The following is a 23,918-nucleotide window of genomic DNA, read 5'->3' on the forward strand; positions in this document are numbered from 1 at the left end:
GCAATAGAACCTGACTATGAAAAAAGGTAGCCATGAGGGAAAGAAAAAGGATGGTCTCCTTTGGATAAACATTTTCCGTAATACGTCCCTAGGAACACATTGTCCACAAAAGATGTTAATAGGAGTGCTGAGTTACAGGGTACCACAGTCATAAATATTTGGGAAATTTCTTCTCCTGGAGATTTATGATGCGCATTAGTATGTTAACATTACACGTTCTGCTAGAGCTCAGAGTAGAGACACTAATTTTGGCTTTATTTAATCCAGTTGGTCCCAGATGTGTTTGACCACCCGGTTTTTCTGTAGGTCGGGGGGGTGGGGGCGAGAGGATGGGCTTAGAGGTGGTTGTAATGGTTGCGCTTTTGTTGTGCATAGCACCTAGTAATAGCTGTAGGAACTAGTGTTTCCTCTCAAGGGCACGCTGTAGGATAGTACTAGAATTTAAAGTGCATATAGGGATCTGAGTAAAATATAGATTTGGATTCAGTCTGGCATGGGGCCTGAGATCCTGGATTTCTAAGTGGTTCCCCATTGGTGCCGCTGCTGCTGGTTGTACTGGTCTGTGGACTGCACTTTGAGTAGCCAGACTTTCGGGAGCAGTCTCTTGGTGATAAGAAGAGGACCCACACGGGGACAATCAGAAATGTTAGCAATTGTGCAGTAAGGAGAGAGGAGAGCCTGAGGCAGAGGTTTGCAACCTTGACTGCCTGTTAGAAGCACCTGGGAGAATTCAGAAAGCTGCTGTTTGGACTCCACCCCCAGATATGTTAACTTCAAAGGTTTGGAGATGAGTCCTAGGTATTGGTATTTCTTTTTCCCACAAGCTTTCCAGGGGAGGCTAATGGACCACCAGGCTGCAAAACTATTGGTTTCATAGTGATGGGCTTAATTTCTTAAGTCAGAGAGCCTGTTTCTAATCCCAGCCCTAAATTACTACACATCATTAGTAATTTATTTATTTTTTATTTGAGACCTAGTCTTGCTCTGTCACCCACGTTGGAGTGCAGTGGTGTGATCTTGGCTCACTTGCAACCTCGGCCTCCCCAGTTCAAGTAATTCTCCTGCCTCAGCCTCCCGAGTAGCTGGGATTACAGGTGCCCACCGCCATGCCTGACCAAATTTTTTTTTTTTTTTTTTTTTTTTTAGTAGATATGGGGTTTCGCCATGTTGGCCAGGCTGGTCTCAAACTCCTGACCTCAGGTCATCCGCCCGCCTCAGCCTCCCAAAGTGCTGGGATTACAGGCATGAGCTACTGTGCCCAGCCTCAGGATTGAGGAATTTAGTTAAAGTTGCTGTGCCTCCTTTCTTCTCATTGTAAGAGGAGGCAATCAGGGTACTTAAACTTCAAAGAGTCTTGATGGAGATTTGATGATACCATGTTTGCATCCCAAAAGACTGGTGTCTAACACATGGTAAGGGTGCAGTAAATGTCAGTTGTAATAACAATTATTGTTATGAGTATTATTGTTATTATTTGCTAACAACCATTCTTAGGTCATTTTTTTTTTTCTTTTCCAATCTGACCAAGATATTGTATTGGTTACAAGCTAAAACCAGATAAACATGTATTTAATTTTCTTAATAAGTGGAGAATTGTGTTAAATGTCTTTTGGGTACATGTGTCCTTACTGGGGGAGTGCTTGCTTCTAGCCTAAGTTGCCTCCAGCAAGCATTCATGGAGGCTGTGATTGCCGTGAGAACAGGTCAAAAACTGTTTTTGTTTACTGTGACAACCCCAGTGCCTGGACATAGTGGTTCAACCTGTCTTGGTTGTTGGCGTTGAATAAATGGATGGTAACCATTCCAAGTGGAGATATGTCAGCTCCTGTCTGCATCCATTCATTTATTTCAGCAACTGAAAACAACGTAATAGTCATTTAAAAAACTGAGGAATACCATATTTTGGATTATTTGTTGTTCCGGTGATTTTGCCAAGTGTGGATTTCCTTTGCTAATTATGGAAGTAGACAACCAAATCTCATTTCTTGTTTGTTTTTTTTTTTTTTTTCCTTTCTAGAAGCAGCTGTGTTCCTTGCCCTCTGCCACCATCCCACTCATACACTGTCTAAAATAAATAGCTTTTTCTTTTTCTGCCCTGTCTTGTTTCTTTCTCCCTTTGCCCTCCACCCAATTTCCTCTTCCCAGTGAAGTCTGTAATAATGTATCAGTTTACTTAATGCAATTCCCAGCCCTAGCTTTCATTGATTTTTTTCTTATTTGACTATTGGCTTATGATTTGTGGGGTAGAGGAGGTGGTGTGCATATCATGTGAATGGAAAGGCTTAATAATTTTCATACTGTTTCATAACAAATATATATTGTATTCAGGTTCAGTGACTGCCTTTATAGAATCATGTCAGAAAGTGGATTTCTATCCTGTTTCATCTTCTATGAAAAACGGAAAACAAGACCTTTTCCCCTCACTGTCATCCCAGCAAGATATAAAGATGCTCAAATGAACATTTGTGGAAGGACTTGACAGGTGCCCTTGGAAAGGAAGCAGGATTTTACTCACTGATATTTTGAATATCATGAGAGTTAGAATTACGAATGAGTACACCCAAGCACGCAGTCGGTTAAGGAGACTTTCATACTCATTGTGGACACTGCTCACAGGCAAAATTGATTGTGCGGCTCCAGTTGCTAGAGCCACGGGGATTTGAGACCACAGCTACATCCATCTAATTCAGGAAGAACTTGAAATAGCTCCTGCATTTTCAGTGGGGGTAAAAAAAAAAAAAAAGAGCCTTTTCACATTTATCCTGAAGATGGAGCCATTTAACATTTTGGATACTTTCTGATTTTTAAATTTATAACTTTAAATTGACTTTGTTTTGAGACATTAGTGTTTCAGGATTTTATTTTTCCCTAAAATATGATTGCTTCCTAACCAACAGAAGGAAGAGTAGTGTGAATATTTGGTTATGGTCATGGACACCTGGGGACCAGCCTGTGTCCTTGCCCATATTTCCAAAGGTCACTCTTTTTTTTTTTTTTTTTTTTTTTTTTGGAGACAGAGTGTTGCTCTATTCCCCAGGCTGGAGTACAGTGGTGAGATCTCGGTTCACTGCAACCTCTGTCTCCCAGGTTCAAGTGATTCTCCTGCCTCAGCCTCCCAAGTAGCTGGGATTACAGGCACGCGCCACCATGCCTAACTTTTTGGTATTTTTAGTATAGATGGGGTTTTGCCATGTTGACCAGGCTGGACTCAAACTCCTGACCTCGTGATCTGCCCACCTCAGCCTCCCAAAGTGCTGGGATAAGGTCACTCTTTCTTGTTTACCTGTTTCTGCCCATATCTGTAGACTCAGAAATTATTTACTAAGCATTTCTAAAATGTGTTTAGAATTCCCATCACTGATGGCTTACTATGAAGGAGAGCATATTTTTAAAGCCATATAAAAGAAGGAATGTGTTTAGTTCTGTTACTCTTGTATTAATCCCTTGGTTATTGAATCTAGAATCTTTGAGCCCGGATGATCCTAGAGGGTATCTAGTCTACCTTCTCATCTCGTTCTTCAAGACTTGTATTTATGTAGCTAGTTGTCATGGCTGGATTAAAATATCTGTGTTTACTTATGTAACTCTCAAAACTCACTTTAATTGATCTTTTTAGCAAGGGCCTGTTTTTCACTTGCAAATGAAGGTGAAGTAAATACAGATTGGCATTTTCTGTCCTAAACAGCCACCAGCTCCCATAGCTGAATACTCTCATATAAGGAAGACAAAAGCAACAACAAATTAGGGGCCAAAATTCCTTACTTAGAAGATGAGTTGTCTCAATTGGGAAGGATTTAAAAAATATTTGTATACCACTCAACAAGCCATCTGGAGACCATCATGGGCTGAACTCAGGTGAGACATCTTGATAAGGTACTGGAAGAACAGCTGTCTTACCACAGGGAGGGTGGATGTGGAAAGAAATCTAGAAACCCAAATATAACAAGGAGCCCTTAAAGCAGTTGTGGGCAACTCCTGCATGCTTGAGATGAGCAGTGGAGACGACAGTGGGGCTGTCTTCTCCCTTTAACTATCCAACGCCGAGGGTCCCAGGCTCTGTGATGATGATGTAGGCAATTTCTTAAGAACAAGTATTGTTTTTGGTAGCTTTACTTTCTAGAAGGCTGGATCTCAGTTCTCTCTCCCATATCACCTGTGTCCGCAGGTGGGGAGATTGATGTTTAGAGCTAGGTTTATCTGTATAAAGGAATAATTCTGATCGTAGAAAAACTCGAAGTACTGGAGACCTGACCCCATGTTGGGACTCTCTGATGCCTTGAACATAGATCATCTTCTGGGGGCTGGGCTGTAGCATCACCCTCATCTCACAGTCTGAAGTCCTGGCTTGGAGCCCTACTGGGCTCAGAGACTGTGGTCCGCAGCCCACTAGTGTTATCAATCCCATCAGCATGGATGCCTACAGCAACAAGAACCAGAACACCCAACAGCACCTGCTGCTGCCTCTCCTTCTCCTCTTCTTTCCCCACCCTTTCCTATTATTATTGTTGTTATTGTTAATATTTATACATCTATTGGTATAAGGAAAATTAGGCCAAAACTTAGTGTATCAAGATCAAAACACATTATCTTTCATAGTTTCTGTGGGTTGAGAATTTGGGAGCAGCGTAGTTGGGTTTCACCATTTAGTGTGATACCAGCTGTAGTATTTTGTAGATGCCCTTTATAAAGTTAAGGAAGTTCTTTCTATTCCTCGGTTGTGAGGGTGTATTTTGTCATGAAAGGGTCTTGACTTTTGTCAAATTCTTTTTCTGCATCTGTTGAGATGATCATATGGTGTATGTCAGGGTTTAAAGTTTTTTCCATGTGTGGCTGCATTTGGTTTGCCAGTATCTTCTTGAAGATGTTTGCATCTATATTTATAAAATATGTAGATCTGCAGTATTCTTTCCTTTTGATTTTTTGTCTGGTTTTGATATGAGGATAACAGTAGTCTCAGATTTCTTCCTCTTCTATTCTTTTGGAAGGTATTTCGAGGTGTTAGTAATAATTCTTCTTTGAAATTTTGGTAAAATTCACCAGTAGAGGCACTGGGGTCTGGGTTTTTCTTTATGTGAAGTTTTTTTTGCCTACTAATTCATTCTCTTTGCTTGGTATAGGCTTATTCAGATTTTCTATTTCCTCTTGAAATTTTGGTAGTTTGTGTCTTTCCAGAAATATTTTTTTCATTTTATCTAGGTTATCTATTATTTTTGGCCTAAAATTGTCCATAAGATACCCTTATAATCCTTTCTATTCTATAAAATTGGTAGTAATGTCCCCTCTTTAATTTCTGATTTTGGTAATTTGAGTTTTCTTTTTTTTTTTCTTGGTCATTCTCGTCTCTCTGTTTCATTTTTGTTGTTATTGTCATTCTTCTTTTTTCTTTTTTGAGATGGAGTTTCGCTTTGTCACCCAGGCTGGAGTGCAGTGTTACGATCTCGGCTCACTGCAATCTCCACCTCCTGGGTTCAAGTGATTCTCCTGCCTCAGCCTCCTGAGTAGCTGGGATTACAGGCACCCGCCACCACACCCAGCTAATTTTTGTGTTTTTAGTAGAGATGGGGTTTCACCGGGTTGGCCAGGCTGGTCTCGAACTCCTGACCTCAAGTAATCTACCTGCCTCGGCCTCCCAACATGCTGGGATTACAGGTGTGAGCCACTGCACCTGGCCTCTTTTGTTTTTAATCTTCATTTCTGAAAGTTTTTATATTATCTATATAGCTTAAAGACCAGCCAAAAATCAGCTAAGATTGTGTTCAGACACCTTGAGCACTAAGAAGTCTCCTGTCCTCTACTGATGGGTTTGTGTGTATGTGGAGGTGTGCATTGAAATTTCAGGCCATTTTCAAATCTTTCCAAGTATTTAGACTCTACTGGTTCCTTTGGTATCACCTCTGCATCTGCACACTGCTTCAGGATTAATCTGAAATGTATGGGCTGGTAAAGTCATTGGCTCTCTCCAGTTTTCCATCACTGAGAATATAATCACTTCTACCAATAATGCTGCTGGATATGGTCACGGCCTTCTACCTGAAAACACATGAGCTCCTTTTGGACCATGGCAACTGAGCTGCCAGTACTCATAGCCTACTCTACCCAGGCAGAGCCTTTGTGTTAACTAGGGATGAAGCCCTCATCTAGAATACCAAAGAGTCCCACTGTTCTTGCCTAAACTCCAGTCGATTTTTGGTGAATACTTGTTACATTATTGGAATTCTTTGGTTGATTTTTAGAGTGCTGAAATTTTGGGGGGGTCAGTTTTGTCCACAAGGATTATTGCTATTTGGAGAGAGGAATGTCTGACTTCCTCACTCAGCCATAGCTGGTAGTCCCAAATATTTTTCACGTGAACTTGCATCCTATTAGCCAGGAAAGGGCACAACGCATTGGGAAAACTTGTTTTAAAACAGTAACCGTAGTCTATTCCTGTGGTGGGGGGGAGGAGGGTCCCCACATATTCACATTAGAAGTCTTACGTGAAGCCATTGGGGATTTTCCTCAAACTTTACCCACAGCACTATGGTTCTACAGGATAAGATCCTGTCATCTATTAGTGGGTATGGAGAACATTATGTGCATGCAGTTGACCCACAAAATCTCAGTGATGCCGTATAATTAAGATGTATTTCTTCCTTTCATCATGGTCTGATGTGAATTGGGTCTCTCTCTGGTTGTAGGTTCCTTCCAGCCGTGGCAATATCATCTTGCAACATTTTGGCTCAGTTTCCATCGATGGGGATGCCGAGATCATTGGCAATTACGGAGGATGTTTCCAGAAAGCATTTTATATCATTTCTGATCATACTGTATTAGCCAGAGTTCAGTCACATGGTCCCACTAAAATACAAGGAAGACTGGGAAATGTAGTATTCCTGTGTGCCCAGGGAAAATACAAAAGCAAACATTTGGTGAATATAGTGCATTCTGTTTGCCACTCATTCTTTGGAGATCCTATCACATTATTAAGCTTATTCTCTGGGAAAGAAAATTGGGATGCAGAAATCGTGAATGACTTAAGATGTGTTGTTTTAAGTAAGTTACTGGAAGATTAGGAACTGGAAATATTTATTGGCTTCTAATTTAGTTTTTTCCCCCAATTTTACTCTGTTCTCTCTCACTTTCATAAAGTGTTGCTTCTTAATTGACATAAATAATACGACCTACCACAGCCACTTTAGAATAAGAATCATTCCTAATTCCACCAGTTTAAGATTAATGTATGCATGTTTTCTTTACAGATGTACGTTTATATAATCAAACAGCTAATATGCATTTGTTTTTTATTGTGTTTGCCAACACGCACATAGTCTTCATATGTCTACATTCTTATTGTAATTACTATTTTTATTGCCACATAACTTTGTATTGAATTGGTCTAATATTTACTTACCCCTTCCTCCTATTATTAGACATATAGTTGTTTCAATTCATTTTAACCTATATAACACATTGTGATTTTAAATATGTTTTAAAATATATTTTTGCAACAAATGCTGATTAAATTGCATATTCTGACCACCTGTGGACATTTAGGAACGCTGTAGTTAAATAGGGTACCTCTAACTTACATCCTTTATGCTCTTACTGAAACATATGTGAATATAGTATAGTACTATTTTTACATAATTCTTTTTTAATGAAAATATTTAGCTTGTGAAGAATAGAACACATTCTCAAGAGTTGAATGAACCTGTTAATGTACTTTTATCAGCTTTGTAATGCAGTATTTCATTAAAATGTGTTTATACTAATTTAGTAGTATGGGGCGAAGGATGAAAAGAAACCCAGAAATGTCAGATCATATACATTAATTCACTGACAAATGTTTTTGAGTGTTTACTAAGTTCCAGGCAGTCTTTTAGAAACTAAATATATAGCATGAAGAAAAATCTTTCTCTCAGGAAATTTGTGTTCTATTGGGTGTCAGGTGGCATGTGAGGATACAATGTTTGTATTAAAAACAATGTATTAATCGCCATGAAGAAGAATAATAAAGGTAAGGAGGGCTGGGTTCAATGGCCTACACCTGTAATCCCAGCACTTTGGGAGGCCAAGGCGGGCAGATCAGGAGGTCAGGAGATCGAGACCATCCTGGGTAACAAGGTGAAACCCTGTCTCTACTAAAAATACAAAAAATTAGCCAGGTGCGGTGCCATACTCCTGTAATCCCAGCTACTCTGGAGGCTGAGGCAGGATAATAGCTTGAACTCGGGAGGTGGAGGTTGCAGTGAGCCGAGATCGCGCCATTGTGCTCCAGTCTGGGTGACAGAGCAAGGCTCCATCTAAAAAAATTAAATAAATAAATAAATAAATAAATAAATAAATAAATAAATGTAAGGAGAATAGGATATGTTCGATTGGGTAAGGGATGCTGTTATATATGAGAGAGGGGTCTGGGAATACATCTCTGATGTGTAACATTTGTGCAGAAACATGGAGGTGGTGAGGAAAAGATTCACGTGGATGTCTAGAAGATCAGAAAGAAGGAACGGCCGGTGTAAAGACACCTGGCTGCAGACTTCTTGTCATATCCACAGCAAGGAGTTTAGTGTGGCTGGAGCCTGGGGTAGGGGAGAAAAAGAGACAAGAGTGGTACCACATGAGGTGAGTGTTAGCTGGGGTAGAAGCTAGGAGGGGACTGGAGCATGTAGGGCTTTGAAGGTCATAGTATGGACCTGGGATTTAGCTTTGAGCAGGAAAAGAAGCCATTGGAGGATGTATTAGTCCATTTTCACACTGCTGGTAAAGACATACCTGAGAGTGGGTCATTTATAAAGAAAAAAGTGGTTTAATGGACTTCCAGTTCCACATGGCTGGGGAGACCGCACAATCGTGCCAGAAGGCAAAAGGCATGTTTTACATGGTGGCAGGCAAGAGAAAGAGACAAAGGAAAGGGATTTCCCCTTATAAAACCATCCTATCTCATGAGAGTTATTCACTACCATGAAAACAGTATGGGGGAAACTGCCCCCATGATTCAGTTACCTCCCATCCGGCTTCTCCCATAACATATGGGAATTATGGGAACTACAGTTCAAGATGAGATTTGGGTGGGGACACAGCCAAACCATATCAGAGGATGTTGAGCACATGAGCAACATGACATCATGCCCATTTAAAATAAATACTCTGGCTGCTGGGTGGAGAATAGGTGTGGGAAAGGATGGAACCAGGGAATCCAGAAGGAGACATTACACTCATGGGGGTGAGAAGTCGTGGTAAATGGAACAGAACTTGCAGGTGTGAGAAGTGGTCAGAGTTTGGATATATTTCCAAAGCAAAGACTATATGATCGTATGCTTAGGTAATGGTTTGAACGTGAGATGTGAAAGAGAGAGAGGGGTCAGTGTTTACTATGGGAATTTTTATTATTCTTATTATTTTAGACAGAGTCTCGCTCTTTTGCCCAGGCTGGAGTGCAGTGGTGCGATCTCAGTTCACTGCAACCTCCGCCTCCCGGGTTCAAGCAATTCTCCTGCCTCACCGTCTCGAGTAGCTGGGATTACAGGTGGCTGCCACCATGCCTGGCTCATTTTTTTTTTTTTTGTATTTTTAGTAGAGACGGGGTTTCGCCATGTTGGCCAGGATGGCCTTGATCTCTTGACCTCGTGATCCACCCGCCTCAGCCTTCCAAAGTGCTGGGATTATAGGCATGAGCCACCGCTTCTGGTCTACTACAGGAATTTAAGCTTGAGCATTCAGAAAATTGAAGTGCTAGTTCCAAGATGGATTGCAAGAGAAGCAGCTGTTCAGGGAAAGAGAGAGAGAAGAAGGAAGAGGAATTGCAGGTTTACACTTGTGTGAATTCGGCATGAGGTGCCCATTGGATTTCCAAGGAGAGATGTCAAGGAGACAGCTCTGTGCGTCTGTAGAACAAGGAAGAGGTTTGATATGGAGATATAGATTTAGGACTTTCCTTCTTATGGATGGCATTAGACACCTTTAGACAGGACCAGCTCACATCCTTCACCATGTGCACAGGCTCTAATATATTCAACATTTAAAAAAATTACCCTGTGACTCTATTTCCTCTCCATCTGTCACTCTCTTTCTCTGATTTCCTTTACAAAACTCTGAAATAAAACTTGTCTATATTTGCTATAATTTCTTTTCCTTCCATTCTCTCTTGAATTCATTCCAACAAGGCTTCCCTCCTGCCCACCTTCGAGGTGATCTTATCCTGTTTCAAGGCGTTCAATACCGACAATAAGCTGATTATCTCCATTTTACAATGAAGAAACCGAAGTTCAGAGGGGTTAAAGCCACTTGAGTATTCAATAGCAGAACTCAAACCAGAGCCTTGCTTTCCTTTCCTATCCCCAGCCTGTCTCTTTCCACTGCATCCTTGTTCACGATGAAATCGTGTTTGCAAACAAGGGCTTGGAAGGTGATCAGCGTGGGTTTAAGTACCAATGTACACAGAGCATTTAAAAAATTCCTCATAGCTAAATAGAATATAATATTTCACCCCTATACACTTGTGGGTCTAAATTGTTAATGTCTGTTTTCTTACAAGAAATAAAACTTGGAGAAAGACTGTGGACTTGTTCCTTAAAACACTATAATTTCATGTAAATCATTAAATTTTTTAAAAGTCTGTGATAATGACATGGTTGATGAGCGTGAGAGTAGGAGACAGGAGGAGAGTTGGATCTTCTTTCCTTGACATCCTAAAGAAGAAGGAAGACAGGAACCTTTCAGAGCATAGCAACAGGGTGTGTTACCCTCCTTAGAGCTAAGGACAGGCAGACCCACATCTTCTTTCTTACCTAAATAGCTATGACTTAAAGTCAATCTTGTACTGCTGTGGCATTATTATTTCTCTATTCTCCTTGGATGTGTGTTTCTTGCAACGGAAGTAGGAGGATTGTCCAGAGGATTTGAAAAATATTTTTTTCTGACATGATTATATCTGTATATGAATTCATTTTTTTGGCTGTGATCTGTAAACTCAACAAAACAATGCCAAAAAAATCAAATGTGGTGAAGTGCTTTTTTTAACTCCTGGGTTCGTCATCATCAGTCTAAAACTCAGTCATTTATAGACTGATTCATGAAGAAATATACAACTGATGACTCTGGGTTAGAGTGTTGTTCCAGGGGATGATTTTTCTGTGCAAGGGAATTTGGAGTGAGTTTGAAGAAGGAGAGGTTATGAATTAGTAAAGATAAATAGAGAGGATCATCTGCATATGGGGAATGTTCCATGCCGAGGTGTGAGCACAAGAATGAATACATTGTTCATAAGGGTCTGTAAAGATACTTGCTTGGTTAGAGAGTAGACTGCAGAAACAGATAACTAAGAATGGAGATGGATATAGTGAGGAGAGGGGCGGGGAGGAGTGTGAGGTCAGGGAAAAGAACTGGACATTGCCCTAGCTTCACGTTGAAAGCAGAGATAGGGAGAGTGTGGCTTGGTGTGGACCATGCCATAGGCTGTATTTGGATGGATTATGGGTTAGTGTGAGGAAAGACTGAAGTCAGGAAACAAGATGGAAGCTCCATAGCAATGGGCATGTCTGGAGATGACGTTGACCTTGCCTCTAGGAGGGGAGCAGTGAACATGGCAACATTGGTGCCAATGGGGAGTGAAAAGGAGATGGAAGAAGAGGTCAATCCTCCATGTGGGCAGTATTGGGCATAGCAGAATATGCAGAGAATGTAGGGTCACACTGGTGAACAAAGGCCCCCGAGTTGGGAGAAATCTAATCTTCGCTCAATACTCTCGTGGTTCAAGATCCTCACAAGTCATTGGATGTTTCTGAAGCTCCATTGATCTCTTTATTTGGGTATATTTATCTGTGTATCTAGTCAGTGATACTGTTGAACTGTAATGATTTGATATCCATTTGGCATGTTTTTGAGCATCAGTTATCATGGACCAGTAGAGGGGATGCAACACTATATCAGAGAGACACTTTTATCGTAGATGTATAGTTAGAAAGTTATTGTCATGCTTGGCCCTATCATACAAAGCCCTGATGCTTTCATGGGGGAAACAGGAACCCTTTGGATGACCTGTATCAGGTCATAGAAAGCATTCTGCCTTCTAGGGAAGTGAGTTGGGATGACGATCGATGTTTTCTTGGAGAGATGCTTTGGTCTAAGCCATGAGAGGAGGAAAGAGTAGAGGAGGGATATTTTAAGCTAAGGTGATAACAGCATGCACAACACCCCTAGATGTGACGAGGCTGAGAAACTAGAGGAAGGGTCAGGGCAGAGATAACAGGGATAAAAGATTGGGAATTTAGGCGGAAGTCAGACAGCTCAGCATTTTCTAAGCTTTTCTAATGATGGGGAATTTAAGAATTACTGTAACCAAAAATAACTAGCTCTCACAAGTATTGTGTAAGGTGTCTCTGGAAAACAGATTGGAGAAGACCCAGCTGGAACCAAGGATATCAGTTAGGAGATTTTCATATTAATCCAGGCTGGAGATCAGGATACAGGTGGTTCCAGTGGGAACTGAGCAAGTAGGTAGTTTTAATCAAAATTTAGAAGGAAAAATGCACCTTACTTGGTAACTGCTTGGATTTGATGGCAAAGTGGGATGTAGAGAGTGGGAGACGGAGGGGCAGGCTAGGATAACATTAACAAACGTTTGCCAGACACCCAGAGCAAAGTCAGCTTTCCTCTCTGGCTCTGATACGAATGTGACCATTGTTAACTGTTTGGCACATGTGTTAACCTTAGAATGTTACCAGTGTTAACTGTTTTGCACATGTGCGTGCATATGTGTGCACATGAATGTGTGTATTTAATCTCAACTATTCTTATTTTGCCATGAAATTATTTAACACACATGTGCTGTGTGTATGTATATGTGTATACACTCATCCCTCAGTGTCCACGAAGGATCCTCACTAATACCAAAATTCTGGCTTTGTGGGATCCACGTATACAAAAAGTTTTCCCTCTATATTTGTAAGTTTTGCATCCCATGAAAACTGTATCTTCTATGTATGCTCAGTTGGATAAAAAATCCATATATAAGTAAGCCTGTTCAGTTCAAACTGGCGTGATCCAAGGGTCAATAGTTTACGTCTACCCACACATTAACTAGTGGCTGTTTCAAGGAGGCAGACTGAGTGATTTATTTTCATGCTTCCTTCAATTTTTTCTAAGTTTTTACCATGAGAAAAAAAAAAATTTTCTCCAGAAGACCAAGAAACAATTAGAGCTTTGAGAAGAAATTTATCTGCTGTTATTGATTTTGTTTTAGCCAAAAAAAAAAAAAAAAAAAGGCTAAACATAAAATACAGTGTTCGTAAACCTGGCTGGCAACCTTTCTCTGATGTTATTGTCTATTTCAGACAACGCAAAGAGGTGTATGAAACCAGAAACCTTCAGCTATGAGGAAAACAAAATAACAATCAATATATTTTGTTTCTGCTTACATTTTCTGCTAACTCCTTGTTTCCCAGCTACCAGAGAGCTGTCAACTTCAGGAATTAAATTAAAAAGTATAAAGCTGTGAATGAAAAAATCTTGGAAGTAATGAGACTACACTGAATGAAGTGGAGGCGAAAAAATGGAACACAGTAAATGGGCACCTGTATCAGTGTCATCTTTAAATGCAAATGAAAATGTCCCAAACCTTCCTACCGCTGATACTTTGAAGCACATACAGTTCATTTTTAGCCAGGTGTATCAGTTTTGCATTGCCAAAAGTAGTAGTGGACTAAAACACCAGTCTGCTTTTCTTTTATTAAGAGATCTGTAATAAGAGAGGTTGAAAGAAATTTTGCAGTGCCAAATGAGACTCCAAGTGCAGTGCAAGATGAAGCTAGTCAATTCTGAAATATTTGAACATGTTTATTTATCTAACCCTCTATGAACCTGGGCACAGATGCTAAGTCTTCCATGTTTTATGTGGTTTCAGATGACCTCTGAAAATTACCTGTGCCATTCTAAACCACCAAATGGTTCCATTTTCCATCTGTTGTCATGCAATTGTTTTGCTTACCAGCAGCTGTCAGATGGATATTACAATGAATGCTTTCATAGCAAATGTTACAACATCAAACATAACAAGCATTGAGGATGAAGCTGATGGCACAGGGAGATACAGAGAGCTTACCAAAGGACTGGAAAGGGGGCCCTGGAGTCCGCATCAGGACACTGAGTGCCATTCCCGGAGTGCATTCAAGAGTCTAGTGCGCGCTGGTTCACAGGTGTCTCTTTTTGCCAACTCATCATAAACTCCTCAGCTGTTAATGCAGAGTCGCTTGCTGCAACAGTGACAGAGAACTGTTGGGTTGCCGGGGCTAATTGCTATTTAGCTCTTTCAGAAGGGTTAAATGCATTGGTTAGCTTGCTGAAGGTTTGGGAGATAGCTTAGGTGCGGGAGCACTCAAACCACAGGGACGTGGCTGTCCCACCTGCTCTCGTTGTTGGGGGCATTTTAACTCATCACCTGATGCTATTGGAAGTAGCTATAAAGGACAGCTGGTGGTTGCATTTATTTGGAGTCTTAATTCACCTGTTGTCTCTCTCCAGTTGTGGTTGAGGTTAGAACACTCTGACTCCTAGAATTCGTACATTCCACTAAACAAGTAATATATGATATTTTTTAAAAAAATTATTCCATGGATATTTTCTCCCTTTCTGTGGTTTGTCTTTTCACATGGTTAAACATATATTTTGTTGTGTAGAAGCTTTTTCACTTGATGTGATCCCAATTGTCCATGTTTGCTTTGGTTGCCTGTGCTTGAGGGGTATTGCTAAAGAAAATCTTTGCCCAGACTAATGTCCTGGAGATTTTCCCCAATGTTTTCTTGTAGTAGTTTCATAGTTTGAGGTCTTAGATTGAAATTTCAGTGAAAGAGATAAACATTTTGTGAAGTTATCTATGTTTGTATATGTGTGAATTCAGGTGTGCAGTTTTATTATTTTTTGCTCAAAGTGGAATACTATTTTGATTAGTACCCTCAAACCGAAATAGTATTTATGAAGTCCTTAGTGCATACTCCTGTGCTTCAAATTCTGTAGATGTTCAATAAGTATTTAAATCAATGAATGAATGAAGGGCAGTTATTTGAATGACTCCATTTTGGCTTCATGTCTTGTTTGGGGATGTTGAGTTCAAAGTTATTACATCCAAACCAACACTAAGTAGTAATGTTAGGATGTGTCCTATAGACGTTGTTCTGTATATAGTATCAACAGAATTATGTAGTGTCAGGTATGTAGCATCCGGGGTCCTACAGCCTATGTTTGAATCCTGGCTTTATGCAACAGACTAGGCAACCTGGAATGGAATGAACTACTTAGTTTTCTAATCCTGTGTTGATTATTTCAGAAAATTAGGATAATAAAAGGACTTACTCCATAGGATTGTTATGAAGTTGAATGAGAAAAATCGACTTAAATCTTTCAGCACTGCCTGTAACATATAAGCACTTGATATATCGTCGATGGTACTATTATTATTTGCCTAACATTTTGCTTTTGGGGAACACACAGCCACCAATTTCCCCTCTCAGAGATGCCACTTGACTTAGTCTCTGTTGGTCCCACCCTTAAAATTATTGAACCACGTGCTATCAGGCATATTGCAGCAAAATATGGTGCTCAGAATATCATGGCTTATGTATTTTATCTTGCTGGCAAAGAATTCTAAAAGGTTTAAAGCTTAAATTAGAGCCCACATTTAAACCGAGTTGGGAGAAATGTACCATATGCCTCTCCATCTTGTGTGTGGTGTGACTGTAAGTGAGAGTGAATGACAACACGCCGGGGGCTCCAGCCAAAACTTGAGGCCGGCAGTCTAAATCCAGATCGGGCAGCCTCCCAGCCTCTCCCGATTCTGTCTGCTTGTGCATTTGACCTTGACAGCCAAGGTCTGTGTGGTTCCTCTTTGCTTTCTGTCATTAATCAGTCCTGAAGCATCTTCTAGACAGACAGCTTGGTTGGATTGAATAATGCGTCTGTGGTTTTTTTTTTTTTTTTTCTTCATCTGATACAGGCATGAGTTAAACTACAGTCGCCTCCATTGCTGAACTTGGCTATTGGGCTGGGCAGTATTTTCAAGCGGTGTTTTACCTGAAAATGTTCTATAAATGAGTTCTGAATGTTGTCTTCTCCCTGTCATAGTGCCTGTGATTATGATAACCCACCCTTGTAAGCTTTCTCCTATAGCAGAAATTGTTGCCAGAGGAAGGGGAGGGATGGCATGTCCTTTCACTGGCAAGTGAGGCCAGATTTTGACTTTGAGTCACTCTTGAGAATTTAGGGGGTGGTCACATGGTACTGTGCAACAGGAAGTGATATTTATCATGATAAGTGATGTTTACCATGCCCCACTTTACAACTGCCGTGTATCTCAAATGTTATGAGTATACCACTGAATGCATTCTTTATTGGAGAGAAAAAAAGTTAGCACCGTATAGAGAAATATATAGTTGCTAGAACTGAGAAAGGGTAAGAAAACAAGAGTAATCTGTAATTTTTTTGTTGCATGGTCCAAAAGGCAATTTCTGTTGCCTTTTTATGGTGATTTGGAGTTTTTAAGATGTTTTGACTTATTTAACAAGCTGGAAACTCATGGCAGAGAGAATGTTTATGACTTACCGAAAATCTTATGGAAGTTCACCACAGAGCTTTCCTTGGAATGCAGGTATCGAGACTTGATTTTCAGAATTTTGCACTAGATTTCCTAACAGAAACCTCGTGATTTGAAGGGGGGAGAATCATCTCTGCAATTATGTCACTGCTAAGCTGACATAGTAACCAAGGGGTTAGTATCAGCCTTGGAATTCTGTAAATATGTCTTGGGACAAAGTGGTATGGAACTACATCTAGTAGATTGAGGAAGAAGGTCATGGAATTAGAACATTTCTGTTACTTCTAGGCATAATTTTCAGGACTAAGGAATTCAGCATGAGCTGCATCTGCCTCCTGCTACCTCCTGCTCTCTCCCCTGTATCAATAACTATTAATTCTGTTTCCTTCCCCATCGCAATTTAGTTTGGAAGATGTCAGTGCTATTTAACGCAGCGAGATCTCCCCAGCACACCCCTCGGGACCAGTCCTTGGGTGTTGGGAGGGCATTCTACCCTATTATCTGTAGGGTGGCTGTGCTTGTTCTCATGCCACATCAAAATTGGCATTGGTAGCTCGCTAATGAGTAGGTAGAGATGGGCTTGGCATTTTGTCTTCTGAAGGAACGGCAGATAAGATGAATAATGTCATTCTTAGTTCTAGTTTTGTCTCTTCTTACTGTCTTTATTTGAGCCCCTCTACCTCCCTCATTTCTTCTTCCTTCCCTCTCCATTTTCCCCTTCCTTCCTCCCAACACCCCCATACACATGCACAGCTCACACACCGTTTTACCTATCTCTTAACTGACAGCTTTAATAAGGATGGTCACTAAGCATCTTCTTATAATTTATGATAGAAAATGGTATGCAAACTTCAGAGATACGGTGGTGGAGATCCAAGTTTATATCTTGAGTCTACCATGTAACTCTCAATATGTGCTCTAGACGCTCTGTGTCTGTTTGGTTATCTATAAATCAGCAATGATAATTGTACTGACCTCATAAGGTTGTTGGGATGAGTCAGTAAGATTATGCATGTGAAATGCTTAGCACAGGTTGTCATGCACTAAAAGATTTCCGTAAACATTGTTTATTATCATTAATAAAAAGCATCTTTATTGAGATCCATCTCATAAGATGCAACACCAAAGCTAATATTTCATAACAGACAAGCACTCTTTGAGTGATATATTATGTCGAAATTCAATTAAATGTCCCAACTCAGTGTGTTGGAACTGGTAGCCTGAAAAAGTCCCATTCATCTGATGGCTGTGAAATAATGAGAATGTTTATCTTTGTTCCATGAAGAAATGTATAATTAAAGCAGTTTGTGACGTACCTCCCGAAGATTCATCTCTAACTCTGTAATACATTTAGTGATTTCAATGCAAATGAATCGTGTTGGTGAGGCAATGTGTTCATCCTATGTCCTTATCTGTTCTTTGAAAACCTCATCCAAGGCTCTGGGGACTCTCGCAGCAGATTGAAAATCCCCTTGCTGGCAACAGCTGATTAGACTGAGGAGAGACATGCATGGGGCTGGCCAATCAGATTATCTCTTCGTGGGAGTTAAGAAATTTGACACAGCCCCAGTGTCCATATTCTTTACATATATATACATTATATATATATATATATATACATTATATATATATACTATATATATATATATATATATATATATATATATAAAATTCAGTGAGAAGGTTAGTAGGAAATGAACTCTAGGAGGACAAGAGTTGGATAGACATTATCATTTACTGGCTAAGTGACCTAGAGCAAGTCACATAACCCTGGGAACCTCGGTTTCATCAATGGCAAAGCAAAGATGCTAATAGGGGCTACTTTTAAAAAATAAAGAATAAACACAATAAAACAGGCAAAGCATTCAGTGACTTGGGCAGCAGTGAGTGTGCAGTAAATGCTAAACATTTTGAATTGTATTCAGCCTTCATTTTTCAGCCTGATTTTTACCTTGATTCTCACATTGAAACTGCCCATTTCTTTGGGTATTTTGGGTCTTTTCCTGTTTTACCCTCCCCACTGGGTTTGTCACTGCACATCCCTCCTTCCTTTTGAAAGCTCTGTTCTTCCTTCATTCTCCTGGTAAACTTGCCGAGTCTCTGCCTCATTGTTTTCTGGCTTTTTGCATTGCCTCATCTTCCTGTGTTCACACCTAAGCGAAGTTGCTCTCCAAGGTTCTGACCTCCGCCTCTTGGCTTTCCATTGTGTTTTCTCATGGGTGACCTAATTCACACAACATGCCTCTAAGCTGATGAAGCCTAGAATCTCATTCCTGTATACTAACTGCCTCTTGGATGTGTCTTCCTGGAACTCACACATTCTAAGTAAGTGGAATTCCACATCTGGTCATCATTTCATACCGTTCCTTCCCTCATCCTCTCTCAGTTGATGGCCCTCAGGTCCTCAGTTTAGAAACTTGTTGTTCAGGCTCTGCAGCTCCCCCATCTCAACCTGAGGTCCTGCATTACCTCCTGAAGAGCCACAGAATCCAGCATTTGCCTTATTCTCACTGTTCTTTGTGACCAGTTCACCTCTCACCCAGGCTGCTGCAACGAGCTTCTAATTGGCATTTCTTCTCTTTCCCCTTCAAATCCCTCATGCTTGAAAATAAAAATTTGGTCATGCCTTTCCCCTGTTTAAGTGTTTTCAGGATTATGACCAAGCTTAGTAACGTGACTTGTTCCTCTCTGCTCTCAGGAACACTCCTTGTTTCTCTCTTTCAAGAACAGCCTATTTACAGTTCAGTGCACGTAATGAGCCTGTACTCATTTCTCTGTCTTTATGTATGCTGCTCCCTGGACCCACCCCATTCCCTTCTACTATCTTGGCCTGAAAATGTCTACTTATCTTCTAACTCTCGATTCAGAGGCAGCCTTCCTCCAGGCATTCTTTCCCTGAGTGCCACTGGCTCTTTGTCTCATTTTCTGGGTTAGGGTTTCTTACATTCATGGGCACTCCAAATACTCTATCCCTATACATCTATCTTGATGCATAATTGTAAATACTGTTTATCTGTCCATTTTCAACTTTACGTTTCGTGTACCTTCCCTTGAGGGCAAGAGCTTTATGTTTATCTCTATCCTTAGTGATTAATATGGTATGTCATGTGTACTAGGTGCTTAATATCTGAGTGACTACTAGAATGAATGAGTGAGTAGATATGAATAGTTTTCAAGATTTTTAGGAAACCAACCCTATTTAACTTACTCTGTGATGAATCTTTTAGTTCATTCTTTTTTAATTCATGAAGTCTGCATTACTCTAGGCCAGTTTTTCCTTGCCCCCAAATCTTTCAGATACGGAATCAGAGAAACATAAGATGTTAGGGTTCACAGTTTTGCAAAATGCTGATGTAAAATACCCAGGAGCAAACAGATGGCTTAAGAAAGGTATTAATCATACGACATATTTTCCTTTATAAAATGCCTTCTTACCTACCGCCTTTTTATCCCCATTATAGGTTTTCTTTCATCTTGGCAATGTTTAGAGTCCGCCATCTTGCCTTGTAAGCCAGTCTTATTATAGCATTTGTGCTGTGCCTCCATTTTAACTCTTGACTTTTGTTGCTCCCACCACACGTTCCTTAAAAGTCAATCAGGAGTTTATGTATCTTTCCGTCTTCTGGACTGAGAAAAATTTATGGCCTTTAGTAGATGCTCGTTAGGTTTGTAGAATGGGCCGGGCGCAGTGGCTCATGCCTGTAATTCCAGGACTTTGAGAGGCCAAGGCGGGCCAATCACCTGAGGTCGGGATTTCGAGACCAGCCTGACCAACATGGAGAAACCCCATGTCTACTAAAAATACAAAAAATTAGCCAGGCGTGGTGGCACGTGCCTGTAGTCCCAGCTACTTGGGAGGCTGAGGCAGGAGAATCACTTGAACCCGGGTGGTGGAGGTTGCAGTGAGCCGAGATTGCACCATTGCACTCCAGCCTGGGAAACAAGGGAGAAACTCTGTCTTTAAAAAAGAAAAAAAAAAAAAGGTTTGTAGAATGGATATGTGCTCTCTCTGAGGTCATGGGGTGAGCAGGGATGCCAAAATATGCTTACTTTGAGTCACGGAAGCAGTAGCCATTTAAGAGCCTTCAAAGGGCCAGATTGAGTTTATGTGATTTAGGAATCATGATCCTAACACATCTCCAGAAAGAGATAAACGGGCTTGAGAAGAAGCAGAGCCATGCTGGGAAATAGATTGGGTGGAATTTAAATAGAAGTCTGGATTTGAAGTAAGAATCATAAAGACTAGGAGTACTTGTAATATTCATAATAAAAATAAATCCTATGAGAACCATTAATTACCATACACAGTATGCTTACTATGGGCCTGGTACTGGGTCAAGTGCTTTGCATTCATTCTCACTTAGTGCTTCAAATAGTTCTACAAGTTAGGCTTCATTGTCTCCCTTTTCAGATGCAGAAACTGAGGCCTCAAAGAGTTAATTCAGCCATTTAAGGTAACAAAGCTACCAGGAGTTTGAATTCAGGATTCCTAAGCTCGTGCTTTTTTTACCCCTGCACCAGAGGAAGTTGTGTGCAGGTCTCTGCATCTGTCAAGTTACTGGATATGTTATTTTGAGCGAGTGACCTAACAGGGCTTCAGTTTCATCATCTATGAAATTGACAGGATAACATTATCTTTCAGATTTTTTGTAGGTAATTTAAATAATTTGCAGAAAACGTTTAACACATTGCATGGGATACAGTAGACAATAAATCTGGACTTTTATTAACGATAAATAATTAGCTTCCCATTCTGAAATATTTCAATATGGATGCGTGGCTGCGACTTAAAAAGCCAAATCCACCCCCCAAATGTGAATTATTGCCTAACTCGGTCCCTGAAACTGGAAATAGAGAAATAACATGCAATTCCAGCAGTATCAACATTATTATTTTCATTTTTTTCCTGATGCTGTCAGCTTGTTATTTGTGCTATTTCTTTGAATAATAGAATTTATTCAGGCAATTTATCCTTAATACAAGCGATATAAATGGGGCTATGCAATCCTTATATATCATGCTAATAATGTCTGGTTCATCTTTTTTTTTTTTCTCCCTGTTTACATATGGAGACATTGATTTCCTACTCCGTCCTGTCTTTTATTACATTTTCTGCATCGAGGTCATCTCTGTCCGCTGCCTACACTGGATTCCAGTAGCTGAAGTTGTGTAACATCATTCAGTGACATTCTTAAAGCATCTACTATGTGCTTTCTTCAAAAATGTGTGTATTAGAGTGGAATAAAAAAGAAGAAAGACATATATAATTGCTGTCCTCAGATATATGTTAAATCCATTAGTTAAAAATGTCCACCTAGCCAGTGATTTAAGGACAAATAGAAAGCTTTATATTGGGAGGTTCTGAAATAGTGTCAGTTAAATGCATGCATGTCACCAGAGGCTGTGGATACTATGCATACGTCTTATTTCTTCTTCCTCTGCACCCTCCCTCTGGTGGCCCCCAAGCATCTCTTGGTGACTCCCCAAACTGAGATTTCTAGTTCCAGTGTTTTTCTTTTTTTTTCCAAGCTTGAGACTCATATTTTATCATCCGTATCTCCCACTGACCCCTGGACACCCTTCATTCGTTGTGTCTCAAACTGAAATCAATACCCCTCCACCCCATCCGCAATCTGCACCATGGTGAATCACATGTGGTTTCAGCTTACCCATGTTGGGGACCTGCAAGCCAACACTGGGTTGCTTGTTCTATCATCCCTGCTCCACCTGAGCACAATTAATGGTTAATTCCCATCAACTAACTTCTCTATAATTTCTTGAACTCAACCTGGTGCTTCTGTTTCCCGCAAAGACAAAACCAGATAATAGGAACAGTAGAGGACCAGGATCACCTGTTTGGTGCACAATGAGTTTCTTTTTTTTTTTTTAATTTTTATTTAAGATTCAGGGGTTCATATGTTGTTTTCTTATATAGATAAAGTCATGTCATGGGGATTCGTTGTACAGATTATTGCGTCACCCAGGTATTAAGCCCGGTATCCAATAATTATTTTTTTCTGCTCCTCTCCCTCCTCCCACCCTCCATCCTCCACCCTCAAGTAGGACTCAGTGTCTGTTGTTCCCTTCGTGTCCATGAGTTTCCATCATTTAGCTTCCACTTGTAAGTGAGAAAAAGTGGCATTTGGTTTTCTGTCCCTGCATTAGTTTGCTAAAGACGATGGCCTCTATCTACATCCATGTTGCTGCAAAGGACATGCTTTCATTTGTGGCTTTTCTAACACATTGGACCAAAAGGTCTTTAATCTCTTTCATAATAATGGCATTGAATTAACTAATACTTACCTGACGCAGATAATTTAACTTGTCTACATATTCACCTGGTCCTGTGCATTTCAGACTTTTGGGGGAAGGATGAGGGGGGTGACAGGTGAGTTCTCATCATTTGGCAGCCACTTATAAGTGAAAACACAAGGATGATTTTTATCATGCTTCAGACAGACCTTCTGAGGTTAGCGCCAAGACAAGGGTATTGAATGTGCACACAGAAAAAGAAAAGCTAATTTGAGTAGATAAAAAGGAGAAAGAATCAGCAAGACTTGATGACAAGATACATTCAAGGGAATAACACATAGGCAGGAATGCTCTCTAAACATAATCAGCATATTACATGTTTTGTCTATGACTTTGTGAATGAAGCCCACGGGAGACCTTCTTAAAGAAAATAAAGAGGGAGACTCTTTTTAAGATGTTAAAATAGAGGACAATGAATGCTTTTGCGATGAGTTATCTCTGTGGAACTGTGTGACCTTGAGCATGTCAGTAACCTCTGTGGGACTTAATTCATCTTCTGAAAACAAGAGATTGGATTAGATAATTCCTAACATTCCATGCTTTTAAATAGACTTTTATGATTAGGAATTTGGCAGGTAGAGGGGTGGAAGCATAACATTTAAAAGTTGGTGGTGATTGAGTCGAGTTAGAAGTGGGTTGAATTATTTTTGGAACTAAAGTGTACCCTTGCTGAAATATAGAATAATAATGAGTCTAGTATTAATATAGCCTGGCTTAAGTATAATACTAATATAAACAAAATTATATTGAGGGAAAATGATGTTTATAGAGTACACCATCAAGATGAGCTCTAGAAAAAGGAAACTAAACCTTCTCTAAACAGGTTTTTTTTTCCCTATCATCCGCTTCTTTTTACATTATCATTATGTTTTCCAGGCTGGCAGATGAATATCAAATCTGCTTTTGACTGAACATTTTTTAAATCTCTCTGATAGAATATATATATTTTTTCATTTATGAAAAGCAAATAGGTCACGTGTTTTCTCTTCTGCAGCAAAGAAATATAGCAAAAGTTTCTATGCTCCGTTCCATTTTCTTATTG

At 40.1% G+C, this 23,918-nt stretch overlaps 1 protein-coding gene across 16 annotated transcripts in view, besides 1 other annotated feature; it reads left to right on the plus strand.

Annotated features, from left to right (window-relative positions):
* The window catches only part of RBFOX1 (RNA binding fox-1 homolog 1), a 2,473,620-nt gene that overhangs the window by 935,474 nt on the left and 1,514,228 nt on the right, over positions 1 to 23,918 (plus strand). The window lies entirely within an intron of this gene.
* Positions 1,074 to 1,858: an enhancer, noted in NCBI's record as "OCT4-NANOG hESC enhancer chr16:6226269-6227053 (GRCh37/hg19 assembly coordinates)". NCBI's record gives its function as "activates a minimal SCP1, AML or CMV promoter by ChIP-STARR-seq in naive H9 embryonic stem cells {active_cell/tissue: H9 hESC(naive)}" and the evidence as "EXISTENCE:reporter gene assay evidence [ECO:0000049][PMID:30033119]".

Source organism: Homo sapiens, chromosome 16 (genome assembly GCF_000001405.40).
Source record: "Homo sapiens chromosome 16, GRCh38.p14 Primary Assembly".
NCBI classification, from domain to species: Eukaryota; Metazoa; Chordata; class Mammalia; order Primates; family Hominidae; genus Homo; species Homo sapiens.